The sequence below is a fragment of the Homo sapiens genome, chromosome 8, assembly GCF_000001405.40.
Source record: "Homo sapiens chromosome 8, GRCh38.p14 Primary Assembly".
Classification (NCBI taxonomy): Eukaryota; Metazoa; Chordata; class Mammalia; order Primates; family Hominidae; genus Homo; species Homo sapiens.
The window spans coordinates 131,129,366-131,146,491 of NC_000008.11; the positions used below are offsets into that span (position 1 = coordinate 131,129,366).

The window sequence follows — 17,126 nt, forward strand, 5'->3', positions numbered from 1 at the left end:
GTGCTGGGATTACAGGCATGAGCCACCATACCTGGCTTATATAATATTTAATATTGCTTATTAAAATAGAAATATGAAATATCATTAAAATGAATTAATATGAAAATTTAAGTAAAATTCAAATATAATAATTTTATGTGTATAAATCTTATTAAATACATTTATAAAAATAACATATTCACATTTCTTCCATTCAATGATCACCAACTTGCCAATGTAAAGAATTGAGATAATACTAAACACGTTACACTTAAGCTTAAAAATATACAATTTTAAGAGTGAAGTGCATGGCTTAATATTGAAATGTTTCTCAGTTGATATGTGCAATTATTCTGAATAGTAGAGTACCTTCCAAACCACAAATTGTAATATAAAAAGATTCAAGAAAAATGGATGTTTGAGATTCCTGGAAATCTGGTGCTTTAATAATGCCAAAAAATTATTCATGAGAGGAAAAAATTCACAAGGTAGTAATTTTATCTTTTCTCTTTCCCAAATATTTTCACTTTTCAGGTCTTCTGTGCAAAGTTGTGTCCACCCCCAAAGTCTGAAGTGGCTCCATTCACAAACTTACATGGAATTTGGACTTGGCCATCTTTCCTTTCAAGAATATATGGTAAGTGACCTTGAGAAACACTTCTCTGAGGCCCGAACAATGTCTGTGAGCTAATGCTTTGGTTTATGAGTTGTGCTGTGCCATTGTTGAATATAGGTTCCCAAGAGATAGGAGCACAAATGTGTTTTTATAAATTTACTCATATTGCATCTGTGGTATTCAGGATCTTCTAAAACATAGGGTTCAGGGAAAGGCCACCTCTTGTGTCAGAGTCTAAAGGAGATATGATGTGGATATGGCAGATCAGCACTCAACCTCCATTCCAACCTCCTTCCATATACATTTATATTTGTAAAACTAGTAATCTAAAAATTACATTTCCCAGACTCCCTTACAAGTAGGGTTCTGGTTAAATTGAGTTTCTGCCAGCATTTGCACTCACATGAGATTTGGAAGGAGAAGTTGATCAGAAGCGATCTTTCTGCTGATATTGTTGTTGCAGCTGGCAAGCTCGGTCATGGAAACACTGGGTTTTATGTAGCAACATTTCAGGCTCCAGTCTGGGGGTTGGCCTCTGAGTTTTTGCTAGTGCAGAACTGCCATGCATAAAGTAACTAGATGAGGTGTCATCCTTCTATCCCCAGGCCACAGGCAAGGTGGTTTCTTCCTGGAACCAACAGATGCTATGGCAGCTTCCCTATCTCCTTTTTGCCTTTGGCAGAGGTAGCAACTCTCCTGGAGAGCATTTGGTGATGCTGCCTTATGTCCTGAAAGGAAAGTGAGAGCAGAGGCTTGAGAAGGGAATAAAGTTCAGGTGCAGACAAAGAAGAGCAGAAGAGAGAGCCAACCTTCAGTGGGTGCTCACTTTCTGTGTCCTCTATCACATAATTGCATTTCAGACCTTATCTCATTTAATGTTTTTAACTCATTGTTTAAATAGGTGAATGATATAGTAATGCATCTTGCATGTATTAAGGTCCAATTATGAACAGGCCATGTTCAATTGCTTTCAAAATTATCTTCTCAGTGAGTTCTCACAATAAAGCTTTGAACTATCGATCTTTATTTTACAAATGAGGAAATTAAAGCTCAGCAAAATTAACATCACATGGTCAATAAGTGGCAGAGGTGATTTGGGGCCTTTTTATGATTACCTCGACTTCAAAACTCTGTTTCCTATCACATGAAGGATGGAGATGGAGCTAAATAATGTGGATGACTCAGTTAATTCTCTGGAGACTACCAGGATAACCCATATGACATTTTCTTCTGCAAATCTCCATTTGTCTTCTTAGCCTATAAAAAGTAGTAGTAGATCAACCTTTGTTAAAATAGGTTATTGATTTTATTTCTTGTTGTGAATTGATATTTGTTGTGAAATTTATTTGAAATAATTTGGATAATACATGAAAGGATGAAAAAGAACATAAAAATTATCCAAATCCCACTATCTCCAAGTAACCACTGTGTACATTTTAGTAATCCATCTTTCTAGGTTTTATTTTTTCTATGTAAATGAATGCACACAATTACACTTATACAGCTCACACTCTCTAATAATCTGCTCATTTTATTGCTTATAATGATTTCCTGTCATTACTTTTTTCCTAAATCTTCAGTCTGATAACCAGCTAGTATTCCATTTAATTGATATGTCATAATTTATTTCACTGGTTTTATAGTTCTGAACCTTTGTTTTTCCATTGATTTTTGGCTGTCACATACAAAGCTGCATTGATCACACACATTGATGTTTCTTACGTGCTTAATAACCTTTTTAGGAATGGGATTTTAGGGTCAAAATACATTGTGGGAGTGGATGCATGTATATTATCATACTGCCTTCCAAAAGGATGTATCTCACATTCTCATCAATATTTTGTAAGAGCGGCCATCCCCACCCCTCCATTGCTACAATTATTTTTAAAAATTATTTTAAATTTTATTTTTAAAAAATTAGTTAAAATAAACCAAAAGTATGTATCACCTCAAATAGGAACTTATCCTTAATTCAATTAGAGCCATGTTAACATTGAGTTATGTGGGGGATAGGGAAACAGTTTGGTTTTTCTGTCACTTTCACCCAGTATCAATGGGACTTGGAAAATGATGCCACCTTGCTTATTCTTATCCTACAGTTAAAACTGCCTGTTAAGACTTGTCCCCTCCTCATACCCTGAGAGAAGTTTGATCTCTGCCATCAAGATGTGACAGCATGCTGTCTGGCTGTAACCTTTTTTATTGCCTCAGTATGGACTTCCTGGAATCTAGGCCTTTTAGGACACTGTGATAAATGTTTGATCAGTTTAAAAGAAGAGGCAGAAAAATCCCTAAATATCTGAACTATGCCAGCAAATTCTCTGAAGTGGCTTTAGTGTACCTATTTTTAAAAATCAATTTTTGTACCTAGCACTTTGATGTTATTTTCCAAATTCCTTTTGCTATGATCAAAATCAATGTTGAGTGAAGTACTTTGCTGGGCTACAGGACTCTTCCATGAGGCCTTTGGCTGGCAATAAATAGGGTAGAGGGAAAGAAAAGTGTAGTTAGGGTCTAAAAGTTTGAAGGGAACCTGAATGTTACCTGACCCAATCTCTCTCCCAATCTTGGACCTGAGAACAAAAGACTGCATTCTATTTCCTCTGGCAAAGAGTTCAGCATAATGCTTGTATTTATACCATGCAATTGCAAGCATCCTACTTGCATTATCTCACATGTTCTCATATAATAATGGCCTGAAAAGATCATCTATTATCATTGCCATTTTTCAGATTAGAAAAGGGAGACATAGACAGATTATTTTGCCGAAAACCATATAGCAAGTAATTGCTAGAACCCAGATGCAAACCCAAGGAGTTTTATTCTAGAGCTTACACCCTTCTCACACTGCTCTTTGCCTTGATGATGGAAAGTAGCTATGCTTTGAGCCAGCCAGGAAAACTCAAGTTTGATCCCAGTTCATTCTCCACCTCTCTGATCTGCTCTCCCAGCTGTGCTGTGTTTTAGGGTATATTGATTGGCACTGTGGTGCAGGGAGAGAGGATGGAGTTCCAGTCCATCTAAGCCTTGTCTCCTCTACTTCCTCACCATGCTGCTTTGGGCAAATTTCACAGCTTCTCTGAAACCTCGTTTTCCTCATCTGCATAGTTAGGATCACAATAACCACAGCACTATTTAGTTGTGAGTTTGTAATAATAATTTAGAAAAGTACCAAAGAAACAGATGTTTTATTCATCTTTTTTTCCCTTTGTTTTGAGAGATAGTACCTCAAATATCCATGGCTCAACTTGATCTTATTGTCTCTTGACTCAATGTTCTCAATTCTATTGTTTTTAAAATATTAATAACAACAATAATAATAAATGTCTAACTTCACATCAGCTTTACATAAATCATCCTGGCCCATCATCATCTATAATTCTCACTACAATCCTGTGAGAACAGCAGTGACTTTATTATCACCCTCATTTTACAGAGGAGGAAATGGAAGCTTGGGAAGATGGGGGGACCTGACCAAAGTTATGGCAAGTCCACGTGAGTGAATCTGTGTCTTGAAAACAGGTCATCTGACATTGGGGAACAAATTTTTTCCACCACAGCATACTTTCTTTAACTTCTCACATGATATGTTTTCCACACTTTCTGTTGCTACTCTGGTTTTTTCCTTTTAGGTCATGGTCATTGTCAATAACTTCTTGGAGGCTGGTAGAACTGAGTTCAGCATTTCAAATGTGACCCACCCCACACCACATATTTTAATGTCCGCTCATTCCAGGATGCCTGGAAGAATGGGTTTCACTCTAGGCTCTGTTTCCAATTTGTTGCGTGATATTGGTCAAACTGCTTTACCACTCTAGTCCTTGGTTTCTTCATTTTCAAAAGAAGAGATTGAACAATGTCATATATATTGTAGGCCTTCAATAAATTTTGCTAGAATAAAGGAATGAATGGATGAATCAATAAATTAGTGATTAAACTGGATAACTTCTTAATTCTTTATATCTTTGATTTTATATTAAGAGTAGCATTTAATAATTAATTAGCATGGTTCCATCTATATGATTGACTTAATTTCTTTAGCAACACCCAAAATTGAGCCAGGTTTCTAACTGTTCAGTGGTAAGCCTCTTTCCTCCTTGGCTTTATGTTTTTATGCGGAAGGTCCCCCATTACAGCAACATCTTGGCCTCTTTGTTTACCACCATCTTCAGAGAAGAAAGAGTAATTTAATTGACTAGTGAATTGCTCAGTTCATTCTGATTCTTCTTTTTGGGATGTTCCTGTTTGTAAAGAGGAACCATCTAGTCTATTTTCTCCATTATGCACCAATTTAGTGGAGGCTGACTTTGTATGCCCAAAGAGGGAAACAGTGATTTGGAGTTAAGTTTAATTCAGAGTGTTAGTAAGCCCATTGGCTCTATATGGAAATCATATTAATAACTATTAACAGCTTTTATCATAGTGAAGCTGATATTTGATTTTCATTTCTCCAATCTTGAATCCAGTTATCAGTTGGCTCCATAATTAGAAAAGAGTGAGGTATTAGTTATTGACTACCAATATCTGTCATTTGGTGAAAGCAAATAATCTTAAACACAGATAAGAAATAATATTTAAGGGTAAAATAAAAGGTAGAGGATAGAGGATTTGTTGGTCAGGAGTATCGGGGGAACCTGCCCCCAATATTTCAACATAGGTTCTTTCTATTTTCCCTAAGTGTCGGCTGATCTGAGAAATAAAGAGTACAAAGAGAGGAATTTTATAGCTGGGCCACCGGGGGTGATATCACATATCAGTAGGTCCGTGATGTCCACCTGAGCCGCAAAACTAGTAAGTTTTTATTAGGGATTTCAAAAGGAGAGGGAGTGTACGAACAGGGAGTAGGTCACAAAGATCACATGCTTCAAAGGGCAAAAAGGAGAACAAAGATCACATGCTTCTGAGGCCAGTAAAGACCACAAGGCAAAGGACAAAGCAAAGATCACAAGGCAAAGGGCAAAATCAAAAACTCCTGAGAAGGGTCTATGTTTAGCAGTGCACTTATTGTCTTGATAAACATCTTAACAGAAAACAGGGTTCGAGAGCAGAGAACCGGTCTGACATCAAATTTACCAGGACTGGGGTTTCCCAATCCTAGTAAGTCTGAGGGTACTTCAGGAGACGAGGGCATATCTCAGTCCTTATCTCAACCGCATAGGACAGACACTCCCAGAGTAGCCATTTATAGACCTCCTCCCAGGAATGCAATTCTTTTCGTATTATATTCCTTGCTAGGAAAAGAATTTAGCGATCTCTCTCCTACTTGCATGGCTGTTTATAGGCCCTCTGCAAACAGAAAAATATGGCTCTTTTTGCCCGACCCCTTAGGCAGTCAGACCTTATGATTGTCTTCCCTTGTTCCCTAAAATTGCTGTTATTCTGTTCATTTTCAAGGTGCACTGATTTCATATTGTTCAAACACACATGTTTTACAATCAATTTGTACAGTTAACACAATCATCACAGGGTCCTGAGGTGACGTACATCCTCAGCTTATGAAGATAATAGGATTAAGAGATTAAAGTAAGACAGGTATAAGAAATTATAAGAGTATTATTAGGGAAGTGATAAATGTCCATGAAATCTTCCTAATTTATGTTTCCTGTGCCATGGCTCCAGCCAGTCCCTCTGTTCGGGGTCCCTGACTTCTGGCAACACAGGAGCATGGCGTTGGACCCAAAGCTTTGGCTTGTGGTATCCATGGGGGATCTTAACCAGTTTGTAGTGATCTGTGTTGTACCATGGGACTGGTTTTGGTTTTACAGTTGTGTACTTGGTCCTTGTGGAGGCTTTGTCTACAAATGAGTAGGTTTTATTATATAAGCAAGGTGGAATTTTAATAATCATACACCGTAGGAATATGATGGCCATTTAGATCTTCATTTTGGGCTGTTGTAAGTGGACCTTAAAGCATTCAGATGTGGCTTGCCTTAGTATTTCAGGCAAGGTTGAGACAGAGATTAGAACCTTTTGGTCTTGATGGGTGGTACAGAATGTCTGCTTTTCCCAAGATCCTCAGCCAAGAGTCAGATCTGCAACTGGGACTTCAAAACAATAAAGCTAGCTATGTTCCACTTGTACTGCAGAGCCCTAATGTGTTAAGTTCTTGCTTTAAACTGTTATTGTCAGGCCTAGGCAGGCGGCCTTAAACTTGTGGCTCTAAATTCCATTTGCTACACTAAAGACCAAAGGAAGAACCTGAAGGTCCCAATTTCTTACAAATATGAGCTTGTCTGCTGGTTCCTGATAGTTACATACCACTGCATGGTGTCAAGTTGGCATAGAGTTTGTTCATTTTGAAGCATCTGACTATGACTTTAATTTCCCAAGATGAAATGATTTTGTCTACAGAATGGTGGTATATTTTTTCAGCAAACAAAATAAAGAGAGATCTTCACCGTAAAAAAGAATAAATTATTTTCTTAGAGATAATTATTGAAAATCCAGAGGTTAATCAGGTAACTCAAAAGGCTGCCTGTGCCTCGAATATTTACCACAAAGGGATTATGTAGAAAATCAAGGAAGAACTAGAATATATTGACTAGTATGCGTTAGTCTTATTGTCTGGACAATAGCAATAGAAAAATGGAAATTAACTATAGGAAGAGAGTGTTAAAGCAGAAACAAAAAACAGATTACCATAGAAGAAATGTTGACATCTTAGAAAAATAATAAGGCAGATATAAAAGGAAAAATTGATATTAAGGACTATGATAAGCAGATATAAAATTAAAAGTAATGCATCTTGGTATAATTGCCCTAAAAGAGGGCCTTAGAATATTTTGGTTGTTCTTAGATCAGAAAACATGACAGTTGTACAATGAAATATAATAAAGAGGAAAGATCTTGGAAATTAGACTGGAATTCACGTGCCAGGGTGCTGGCACTCACTAAGCGGTGACCATATAAAGAATCCCCTGAAGACTGGGAGAGACATGTGAGTGATCCAGAAAGTCTGGACAGACAAGAGAAATCATCAGAACATATGCAAAAGAACTTCTGGATCGACTTCACAGTGACATAGATGTTATAGGTGAACTAGCAGCTTTTACATGTAATCTAATTTTGGATTTATGATTCTAAGGCTACCATCCAGAGATAACTCTTCACAGTTAAATGATTAGATTAATTACATGATAGCACAATCTTCCTTTTGATTAACTCACTGTCAACCGATGAATAATTTTAATTAGATCTTCAGAATTCCTTTTGCCATATAATGTAGCATAATCCCCAGTGTGATAGCTTATCCTATTCACAGTCCCAGGGATTAGAGTAGGATATCTTAGGGACTATTTTAGGATTCTGTCTACCACAACACATAGGGAATCTAAGCAAAATAGTGATGATTAAGTCCAGCCTACATTAGATGTAGTCTGATGGAAAATTATCTCCTGGATGCATGCTTCAACTCAATAAATAATAATGGACAAGACTTATTGAAATGGGAGAGGCTTTTGGCACACCAAGAAATTATTTATTTTACATGTCGCATTGTGGGAAACAGCCTATAAGATAAAATTAAGAGTATAATACTGGACAAATAAATATCTTGACCAAAAAAGCAGGGAAGGAAAAGAAGAAAGGCATTTAATTACAGCGAATAGTAGAACTCTTATTTGTTAGAGAAGGAAAGATGCCAAAGAAGCAGATTGAATAGTTAGAAACTCAGTTAAGTGTTCCTGTGAGACTTAGCAGAACAGAGGAAAAAGAAACATTGAAGGCATAGTTAACTGCAGCAAAATAGCATGTAGCAGAAAGAACTTCTATTCAAGACCAGGATCATTTAAAAGGAATAAAGACAATGTCTTGAGGAGCTCATGGAAGAAGAAGTGATCCTCACCAGGACCCTGGAACAAACATTTCCAAAGCATCAATAGCAGCCTTACTTCCAGAATATACTGAGTGACTTTAACAGAAACAAATGTTTGGATAAGGAGAAGTCTAGAAGGCAGATTTTTTTTTTATGACCCGAGGAATTTCATTGCAAGAAGGAACAGCACCATCTCAGAAATGAACATGCTTGCTCACAAAGATAATGTGAAGGCTGAGGTACTGACATTGTCCTGGGTGCCAGGAATGTTGAGCTCAACATGATCAAGAGTGTTAAGAGGTTTTGAATTAACAGGGGCTTCCACATATGGGTATGTCCTTGCTTTTGTGAAAGGCAGGAGTTTCATAAATGCAGCCCTTTAAGAAAGTAGATTAGGCCAAAGTGGGCAGATCATGAGGTCAGGAGATCGAGATCATCCTGGCTAACACAGTGAAACCCCATCTCCACTAAAAATACAAAAAAATTAGCTGGGCGTGGTGGCATGTGCCTGTAGTCCCAGCTACTCGGGAGGGAGGCTGAGGCGGGAGAATTGCTTGAACCCAAGATGCGGAGCTTGCAGTGAGCCGACATAAAGCCACTGCACTCCAGCCTGGGTGACAGAGTGAGACTCCGCCTCAAAAAAAAAAAAAAAAAGGAAAGTAGATTAGTGAGACATTTTCCCCCATCAGGTATGGCAAATACACCATTAATACTTGATGGTAGATTTCTCCTAAATAAGTTTCAGCTCAAGTCTATAGACTCTTCATAGCTTAAATAGACTGACCAGCATTCTAGTCATGAGTATCCGCAATGCTCTCAGATACTTCTGAGTTTCTGCTATTCCCTGGGGCAATTAAGTACCAGAATAACATTTTACTTGGGTTAAGTGATTTGGAGACTGAGACTTTATGCTTTCTAATTTTCTGGTCATGAAGTAAGTGCCAAAATAATATTTTTAGCCCTATTAATTCTTTGGATTCTTTAAAAAAGGGAGCTCATGAGAGATTTGGAATTGGACTTATACAAATCTGAGACCCTATCAGAAAGATATTTATTATAGTATGACAGCCCAGGTTATAGAAGTGAAGGGATCAAGAATCCTTCTAGGCTGGACATGTTGGCTTACATCTGCAACATCTCTACATTTCCAATATTTGAGAGCTGGAGCACCATTTAGGTTGTCATTTGATCTCATTACAGAACCTCTGATGAGCTTTTTTGGACAAAGTGGCAGGGCATAATTTGGTAGAATAAAATATAAATTTCTAGTATTAGGTACAGCATGGCCTTGGAGTTAATTTAACTTATATCTATCTGGCATACTGTAGGGCTGTCTGACCCATTCTGGGGGAAAAATATTCAGTTTACCAGAAGGATACCACGAGGTATAATGGTTAATACTGAAGGAGTGACTTCATGAAAAGGGAGAAAGGAATAATTTGGTAGATTGCTGATCTTCTGTTATAAGGGGTTGGCTTATAACCCCTTATGATATAACCCCTTGGAAGATCCTGGGTTGATGACTGAGCTCTATAATTAAAAAATGTTAATTTTCTATAAATTATGAAAATGTTAGGGAATTGAAATGTTAGGGAGAGTTCTTTCTCCTGGTCTCATGTTTTCTATGAAAGGATCTTCTTTAGAATGATGTCCCTGGCCTCTTGCCCCAACTTTTTTATACCTCTGCATCTCCACTTCAACCAGAAGAGGACTGACCATATTTTATTGGTGGGTTTGGAAGAAGGAACCCAGCAGGAATGGCTTACCTTACTCCGGGTTTCCTTTGGGATCTGTCTATCTGCAAAAGGAAGCTTTCTGACCTGCTCTCTCTACTTCAGTGGAGCATCTTTCACCCACTACAAGGAAAGTCTGCAGTTTTAGGGGCTAAGTTCATTTCAAAGAAGTGTTACTAAGCCAGTTTGAGTGCTCATCACACAAAGTTTTAGTCCATGATACAGCTAACATAATTGTCTTCATGTCTCACCTCCTGACCCTTCTCAGTTTGTTTCAATGCATTAACTGAAACCTAATGAGTATAAAAGAAGTGGGGGTCTGGGTTCTAAATCTACCCCCGCCACTGGTATGCTGCTGCCTGCTGGGAAGATTACATCTATTCCCCGCATCTGAGACATCTCAGATATATAATGAAAGGATTGGACAAGGTAATCTTTAAACTTTCTTTTAGCTTTGCCGTACTGTGGCATGAATGGGAGACCTTCAGAAGGGAGTTCATGTTTGTAGTCTGTATTGCATATTGATTAACTGCCTTTTAACATCATAATTGTTAATTGTTTATTATGGCCAGATTTGGGGAAATGGGTTCCCAGACAGTGGTGTCATATATGGGGTCAACAATTCATTGCTATTAGGGTCCGCCCAGCTGTCATTGGTGACATTAAAAATCAAACAGAGCCTTTTGTGGTCTCCCTGCCTTCTTATGTTTAGATAGTTCTGATAATTAAGATTCTGATAATCTAGACATTTTTCTCAGAGAAAGAAAAAACACTGCCAAAACCTCCAAGTGGGTCGTGTTTGAATTTGGCTGTATTTAAGAAGTATGTCTACAAGTTTGAATTATCTCTTTTCCTGAAGAATTTTTTTAGGGCTGATATTCCTGCCTCCCACCCTCATGATTTTGTGTTTTTCTCTCTGGCCTTCTCTTTCAGCCATGCTGTCTTTCTTAGGCTTTAACCTTATTTATGTTTCCAATCTCCATAATACCTGGACACCTTGGCAATCAGCTTTTAATTTTAGTATGAAGCAGAGTGAGAGAAGCAGATGAAATATCATTGCTAAATAAATATTGGGCTTCTGTTTGTAATTTTGAAATGTTTTGAAACATTAGAAGTTGAAAAAAGAGCCAGGATTTTGAAGATTTGTTTTGTGTGTGTAGTTTTTCTATGGGATGCAGTCTGTCATATCCACACAGACATGGTGATGTGAAAAGAGAAAAATGGATCACCTTGAGATGGCACAGTGGAAGGAAAATCTGTGTTTTGAGATCCACTTCTGTAGTTCTTTTGTATGACTACCTCTGGTAATAGTATTTCTGATAGTTGACTGAATACCTAGCAATGATGATATTTTAAAAATGTTAATATTGAGGTTTCATTGTGTGCAAAGGACGTTCACATAAGGCAACATGTAGTAGCTCTTCCCTGAGACCAGCGACGTCCCAGAGAGGGACGTTCTGTCGGTCTGAGTCTGAGTCCTGCAGTGAAGAGAATGTGAAAGGAGCCACATATGACCCATGTGGACAGATACTATGGGAGAGAAATAAACCTCTATTGTTGCAAGCCTGAGAGTTTTGGAGGTTGTTTGTTACCATGGAATAATTTAGCAAAGCTGAGAGATAGTGGTGGCAGCACCACAGAACCATTCTAAAAGACGAACTGATAATACGAAACAAAGCACAATGCAATGACAACAGAAAAAAGGATGATATAGACTCCGCAACAAGACAATTCAATTAGAAACTCTAGAATCTCTGGTGACAGGGTTCAGATATCAGGTATCTGTGTTTTAAAAAGCATCCCAGGAAATTCTGATGTACCGTGATAGTGGTGAACTACTTATCTAGAGGAAAAGTAGAAATAAGTTTGCTTCTTTGTCTATTTTCACTCAAAGACTTTGGAGGATTTATTTTAGTCGGAAAAGCCCCATGTTGTGACTAAGTCATTTTGCTAAAGGGAGAATGCTGGGTTAGGATTTATGGTTCAAGCTTTAGCTAGTATTATCTGGTCTTAAGCAATCATGTAGTTCCCTTAGTGTCTCAAAGGTTAAGAGCAGAGTAGGACTTGGCTTCATTCTTTCAATAGGTGTGTATTGTTGGTTGATTGCAAACTGTGTGTCAGGCTCTGTGGTAAATGCAGAATTATTCCATTAACAAAAGTTGCTAATGTTATAAGGGCTACCAAAGAGTATTCAACCAAGCTGTGCAGAGATGCCGAATGGGACATCTAACCCAAAAGGTGGAAAGAAAGGCTTTCCTGTCTATTTATAATCCTTACTTCTAGTATTGTCTTAGCATAGTCTTCTTGTGTCTTTGTTCCAAAGACACAATTGTCTGGGAGAGTAAGGAAAACAAAGACACTAGCTTAGGAAAGGCCATATAATTATATTAGTAAGTACCATTTATCATTGTCTTTAACTACTACAAGCTGAATTCCTTCAGGGTAAGGGAGCACCATGTCTGTGAGTTATTCTCAAACATTTCAGAAAAAAATAGATTTAATTATGTGGGAGGAGGGAAGAGAAGGAGAAGAGACAAGGAGAAAGCAAATATTAACATTGGGAGAATCTAGGTGAATGGTATATGAGACTTTTTTTATTCTTGACACTCATGTACATTTGAAAGTATGTCAAAATAAGAAAAAAGCCAAGAGGAAAAATTATGCTTTTCCTATACACAAAGATACTTTCTATTACTTTAGGAAAAGTCATACTTGGAATGGTAAGGCTTAAGATGGATGGAAGTGCAGTAGTAAAGAGTCTTATCCCTGGGTTGGGATCAGGATACATAGATCTGGTTTAAGGTATCCTGAGTTTCTATGCAAGATGATACTTGTCTGGATTTTATTCAACAGACCAAGGGCATTGGGCTTGTTGGGAAAGGAGGATGATAGGGATGATTTTCTGATTCTGTGTTTCCTATTTATTTGCATGGTCCTACCACCATCTCGTTAGCCAAACTAAACCCTTGGAATAATCTCTAACTCTTCCTCCATTCTATAAGTTACTAGTTCCTGTAATTTCTATAAGTTACTAGTTCCTGTAATTTCTCCCTCTGAAGTCTTTTGGGTCCTCCTCCCACCTGCCTCACCACTCCACTCCCCAAGCCTGGAAATATAACGCTCTCCTACATCCACCATTCAGCTTGCCCTCATTCCATTAAGGTCTTATGTGCAGCCAAGGTGATCTTTCTAACCAAGGTGATCTTTCTAACATACACAGCTCTCAAACACCTCTACTCATGCCATTTCTCAAAGCATCAGTGGCTTCTTAAGGCCTATGGAATAAAATACAGAGGCTGCAACTTTTCATTGTATGCCATGATGTGGCTCCAAAATTCTTTATTCTTCCTACTACTAACACCTTTATGCACATAGCTTCAGCATCACTACTTTCTCTCTATCATTTATGTTTGTTTGATCTGAAATTTTGTCTGTTTGGCATTCATGCATGCCCTCACTCTTTTGTTCACACATATTTACTGAGCGCCTACTATGCACTGTCTGTTGGGGATGCAGTGGTAAATGAAGTTGATCCAATCCTTCCCTTCTCTGCATCTACAAGCTAATGAGAAAGAGGCATACTTTAAGTTAAAAGAAAAATATATGTATTTGTGCATGTTATGACTATAAAAAGAGTTACAAAATAGAAATATACATGAGGACTGTACTATGTATATAGTTTAGGAATATCTACTATATCTACTATATTAAGGGACTATCATGAGGATATTCCCCTAAAATTCTCCTACCCTCTAATATATCCATATTTTTTCCATTGTTTTTCAGGATCCAAAGTTTACCTCTTTAAATAGATCTTGCCTTAAGACTGATGTAATATCTTCCTCCTCTGAATGACAATAGTGCTCCAACTGAACATTCCCTATACACTAGATCAATAGTTACATATTATTATTCTGGAGCCTGAATGACTGTAGGTCAACAGTTACATATTATTATTACTAAACCCCAAGGAGGCTAGGTCAACAGTTACATATTATTTGTTGTTTTAATCCTTGTTTTACCTCCATTTCTAATCTCTGATGTCTATGACTTTGCATTTCCTGTTTTTTGTTCTCTTTATTGCCTCAGGGCCAGTCATAGAACTTTCCTTGTAATAAAGAATTCTGTGTACAAAATATTTATCAAATGAATAAATAAATGAACTCATGTATAACACATAGAAATATATTGTACAGTATGCCTTCTGTAATAACATATGAGCTGATTTTATTAATACAATCTTTATTAGATCAAGAAAAATAATTGCTGATTTTTAATATAATCACTACAAATTCTGGCCTTGACTGCCAAAATCAAGATCTGTTTTAAGGGCCTTGGACAGAAAATGTTGAAAACTACTTTAGTATAAAAGTAAATAATATACATAGAATAGTGAACAATAAATAATATAACTGAATAAATTTGGCAGAATAAAAATTTTGAAATACTAAGTGATCTTAGTATTTGATAGCAAAACAGGGTGATTATAGTCACTATAGACTATAGTACATTTAAAAACAACCAAAGAGTATAAATGTATTGTTTGTTACACAAAGGATAAATGCTTGAGGGGATGGATACCCCACTTTACATGCTGTGATTATCACGCATCACATGTCTGTATCAAAACATCTCATGAACCCCATAAATATACACATCTTCTGTGTACACATATAAATTATAATAAAAAAATTAAAAATGAATTATTAAGCGATCTTTGTCTATTTTACCATTTCTCCTTATGTCCTTTCTCCTCTCCCTATTGGAGTAGAGCTGTATCTAGATATCCTTACCTTTCTCTGTTCATTGCCTCAGAGAAGGAACATGACAGGGAGAATGTAGATAACAAAAATAAGATGGGCTTTTCTTGGCTTTGGAGTCATAAACATTAGGATCTTTGGGAAGCAGAAAGTACTGTAGACATATACTAAATTTGAGAGAAAACTGAATGATTAGGTAAGGATACTCTGTCTTTTCTGCTCCCACTCTTACTCTAAGAATGATTTCTCTGATGAGGGGAATAAATTTTAAGAGGAAGCAATAGAGTTTAGTTAGACCTTGATGAGTTCCTGTAAAAGGAAACTTTATCTTACGCTTCCTGGACTAAGCCAGGTGAGGCACACAAGCCCCAGATGGATTCCCGGGTAGAGGCTGAAGGAGGTTGCAGGTCTCCACCAGGATGGTAGGATGACAAGTTTTAGCCGATACAGTGTCAGTCAGTTTTGCAGATTCTCATGTCCCGGACTGGCAGGGGGTTAACAGAATTCTTGGGTGTTCAAGATTGACCCAGGAGTATATAGAAGAGGCTTATGGTCAGTGATGCTGACCTGTCTGAACCAATGACCAAAGGCCATGTGAGAGAACGACAGCACAGTAGATGATACTGGAGAGTTAATGGCGAGGACAAGGTGATCTTCAACACACATTATGTCACAATGCACACTCTTCAGAACTTTGATGATGGAACTGCACACTTCCCAAATGCTTACATAATTTCCTTTCCTGTGTTGTTTGGGGTGACTGTCTTGCAAGTACAATTTTTTCTTGTTTAGCAAGCAATAAATGCAGCTTTTTTGTTTCAGATCTTGTTGGCCTCTCTCTTCCTTTGACTAAATTGAATCATATAAAATTTTAAAGAAATATTGTATACATGAGTTTGTAGATTTAGTATTGTACCTCCTAGGTGTGTATAATACCAGCTTTCAAAAGCTCACAATCTGTTTTCAGATGTTGGCTGCTGGACTAAACAATTTTTGTAACACTGGCATATAATGTGAGAAACGCAAAGATAAGCTGAGAAGCTCTTTTGAAAGAGCTCAATAAATGTCATTCCTTTTATTTCACGGATGCATAAATGAAGTTTGACAGAAGTTATGGAAAAGCTCACATAGTTGTAGTGAGAAGTGAGAGGAATACCCTGATCTCATGTCTCCCCTATTGGGACTGTGTGCTGCATGCCTTGATTCTGATTCTGAATGAGCTGCAGAGGTGTGTGCGGGGGGTACTCCTCTTTCTTCTACAGTAGACCAGCGATTGTCAAACTTTAGGGTAAATCACAATCATCCCCTGAAGGGCTTGATACAACACTCTTGCTGGCCCAAACTACACAATTTATGATCTAGGTTTGGGGTAAAATCTAAGAATATGCATTTCTAGCAAGCTTTGAGGTTGACTCTGCTGGCCCAGGGACCACTTTAAGACACTTTAAGAACCACTTTTCTGGTTGTTCTCCTGATGAACAGGATTGAGTTAGAATTGAGTGTGAGACAGAGGAAGAGAAAGTAAACTGATAGACAGAGGGTTGGAAATGACATTTCCAGAGTTTCCGGACCCTTCCTTGTGGATTTGGGCACAGAGGAAGAGGCGGCAAGGTACATATTTCTCTCTTCCACATCAGTAGGGTAAACCATATTATTAAATCTCAAATTAGGCTACATTTTGAGACAAGTAAAATCATACTGGAGGGGAAAGCACATTTTACTATCCTGGATAATCTGTTGCTGTGATTAGCACAGAACATGGCTCATGGGCCCAAAGACCTGGGTTTGAATTTTCATATCAATAGCTGTATGATCTCGTTTATGTTTCCTGACTTCTATGGGCTTTATTGCTATACATAACAGATGAGGGGTGGGGAGAGGATGGCATGATAGCCCTCTTAACAGTTCTGTGAAGCTGTTATAGGGTTTCCTTTTGAGGTGATAAAAATATTCTGGAACTAGTTAGAGATGATGACTGCATAACATTGTGAATGCGTAAAATATCATGAAATTGAACATTTTATTTTATTTTTTATTTTATTTTATTATACTTTCAGTTTTAGGGTACATGTGCACAATGTGCAGGTTAGTTACATATGTATACATGTGCCATGTTTGTGTACTGCACCCATCAACTCGTCATTTAACATTAGGTGTATCTCCTAATGCTATCCCTCCCACCACCACAACCCCACAACAGGCCCCGGTGTGTGATGTTCCCCTTC

The 17,126-nt window shown here is 37.6% G+C and overlaps 2 long non-coding RNA genes across 3 annotated transcripts in view, besides 1 other annotated feature; one reads left to right on the forward strand and one right to left on the reverse strand.

Moving 5' to 3' along the window:
• LOC105375760 (uncharacterized) overlaps positions 1 to 17,126 on the forward strand; it is a 257,327-nt gene that overhangs the window by 89,844 nt on the left and 150,357 nt on the right. For both annotated transcript variants that reach the window (XR_007061183.1, XR_928653.3), the window contains one exon: positions 514 to 616. This is a non-coding gene — a long non-coding RNA (uncharacterized LOC105375760). The remainder of the gene's footprint in view (positions 1 to 513; positions 617 to 17,126) is intronic.
• LOC105375759 (uncharacterized) lies at positions 408 to 15,536 on the reverse strand. Its single transcript, NR_188078.1, has 3 exons — positions 15,469 to 15,536; positions 1,711 to 1,852; positions 408 to 1,323 (listed from the first exon to the last, which is right to left on the reverse strand). It is a non-coding gene; the product is annotated as an uncharacterized LOC105375759 (long non-coding RNA).
• Positions 8,770 to 8,957: a silencer, noted in NCBI's record as "fragment chr8:132150382-132150569 (GRCh37/hg19 assembly coordinates)". NCBI's record gives its function as "represses an EF-1alpha promoter that drives an FKBP-Casp9 reporter gene in an ReSE screen in K562 erythroleukemia cells {active_cell/tissue: K562}" and the evidence as "EXISTENCE:reporter gene assay evidence [ECO:0000049][PMID:32094911]".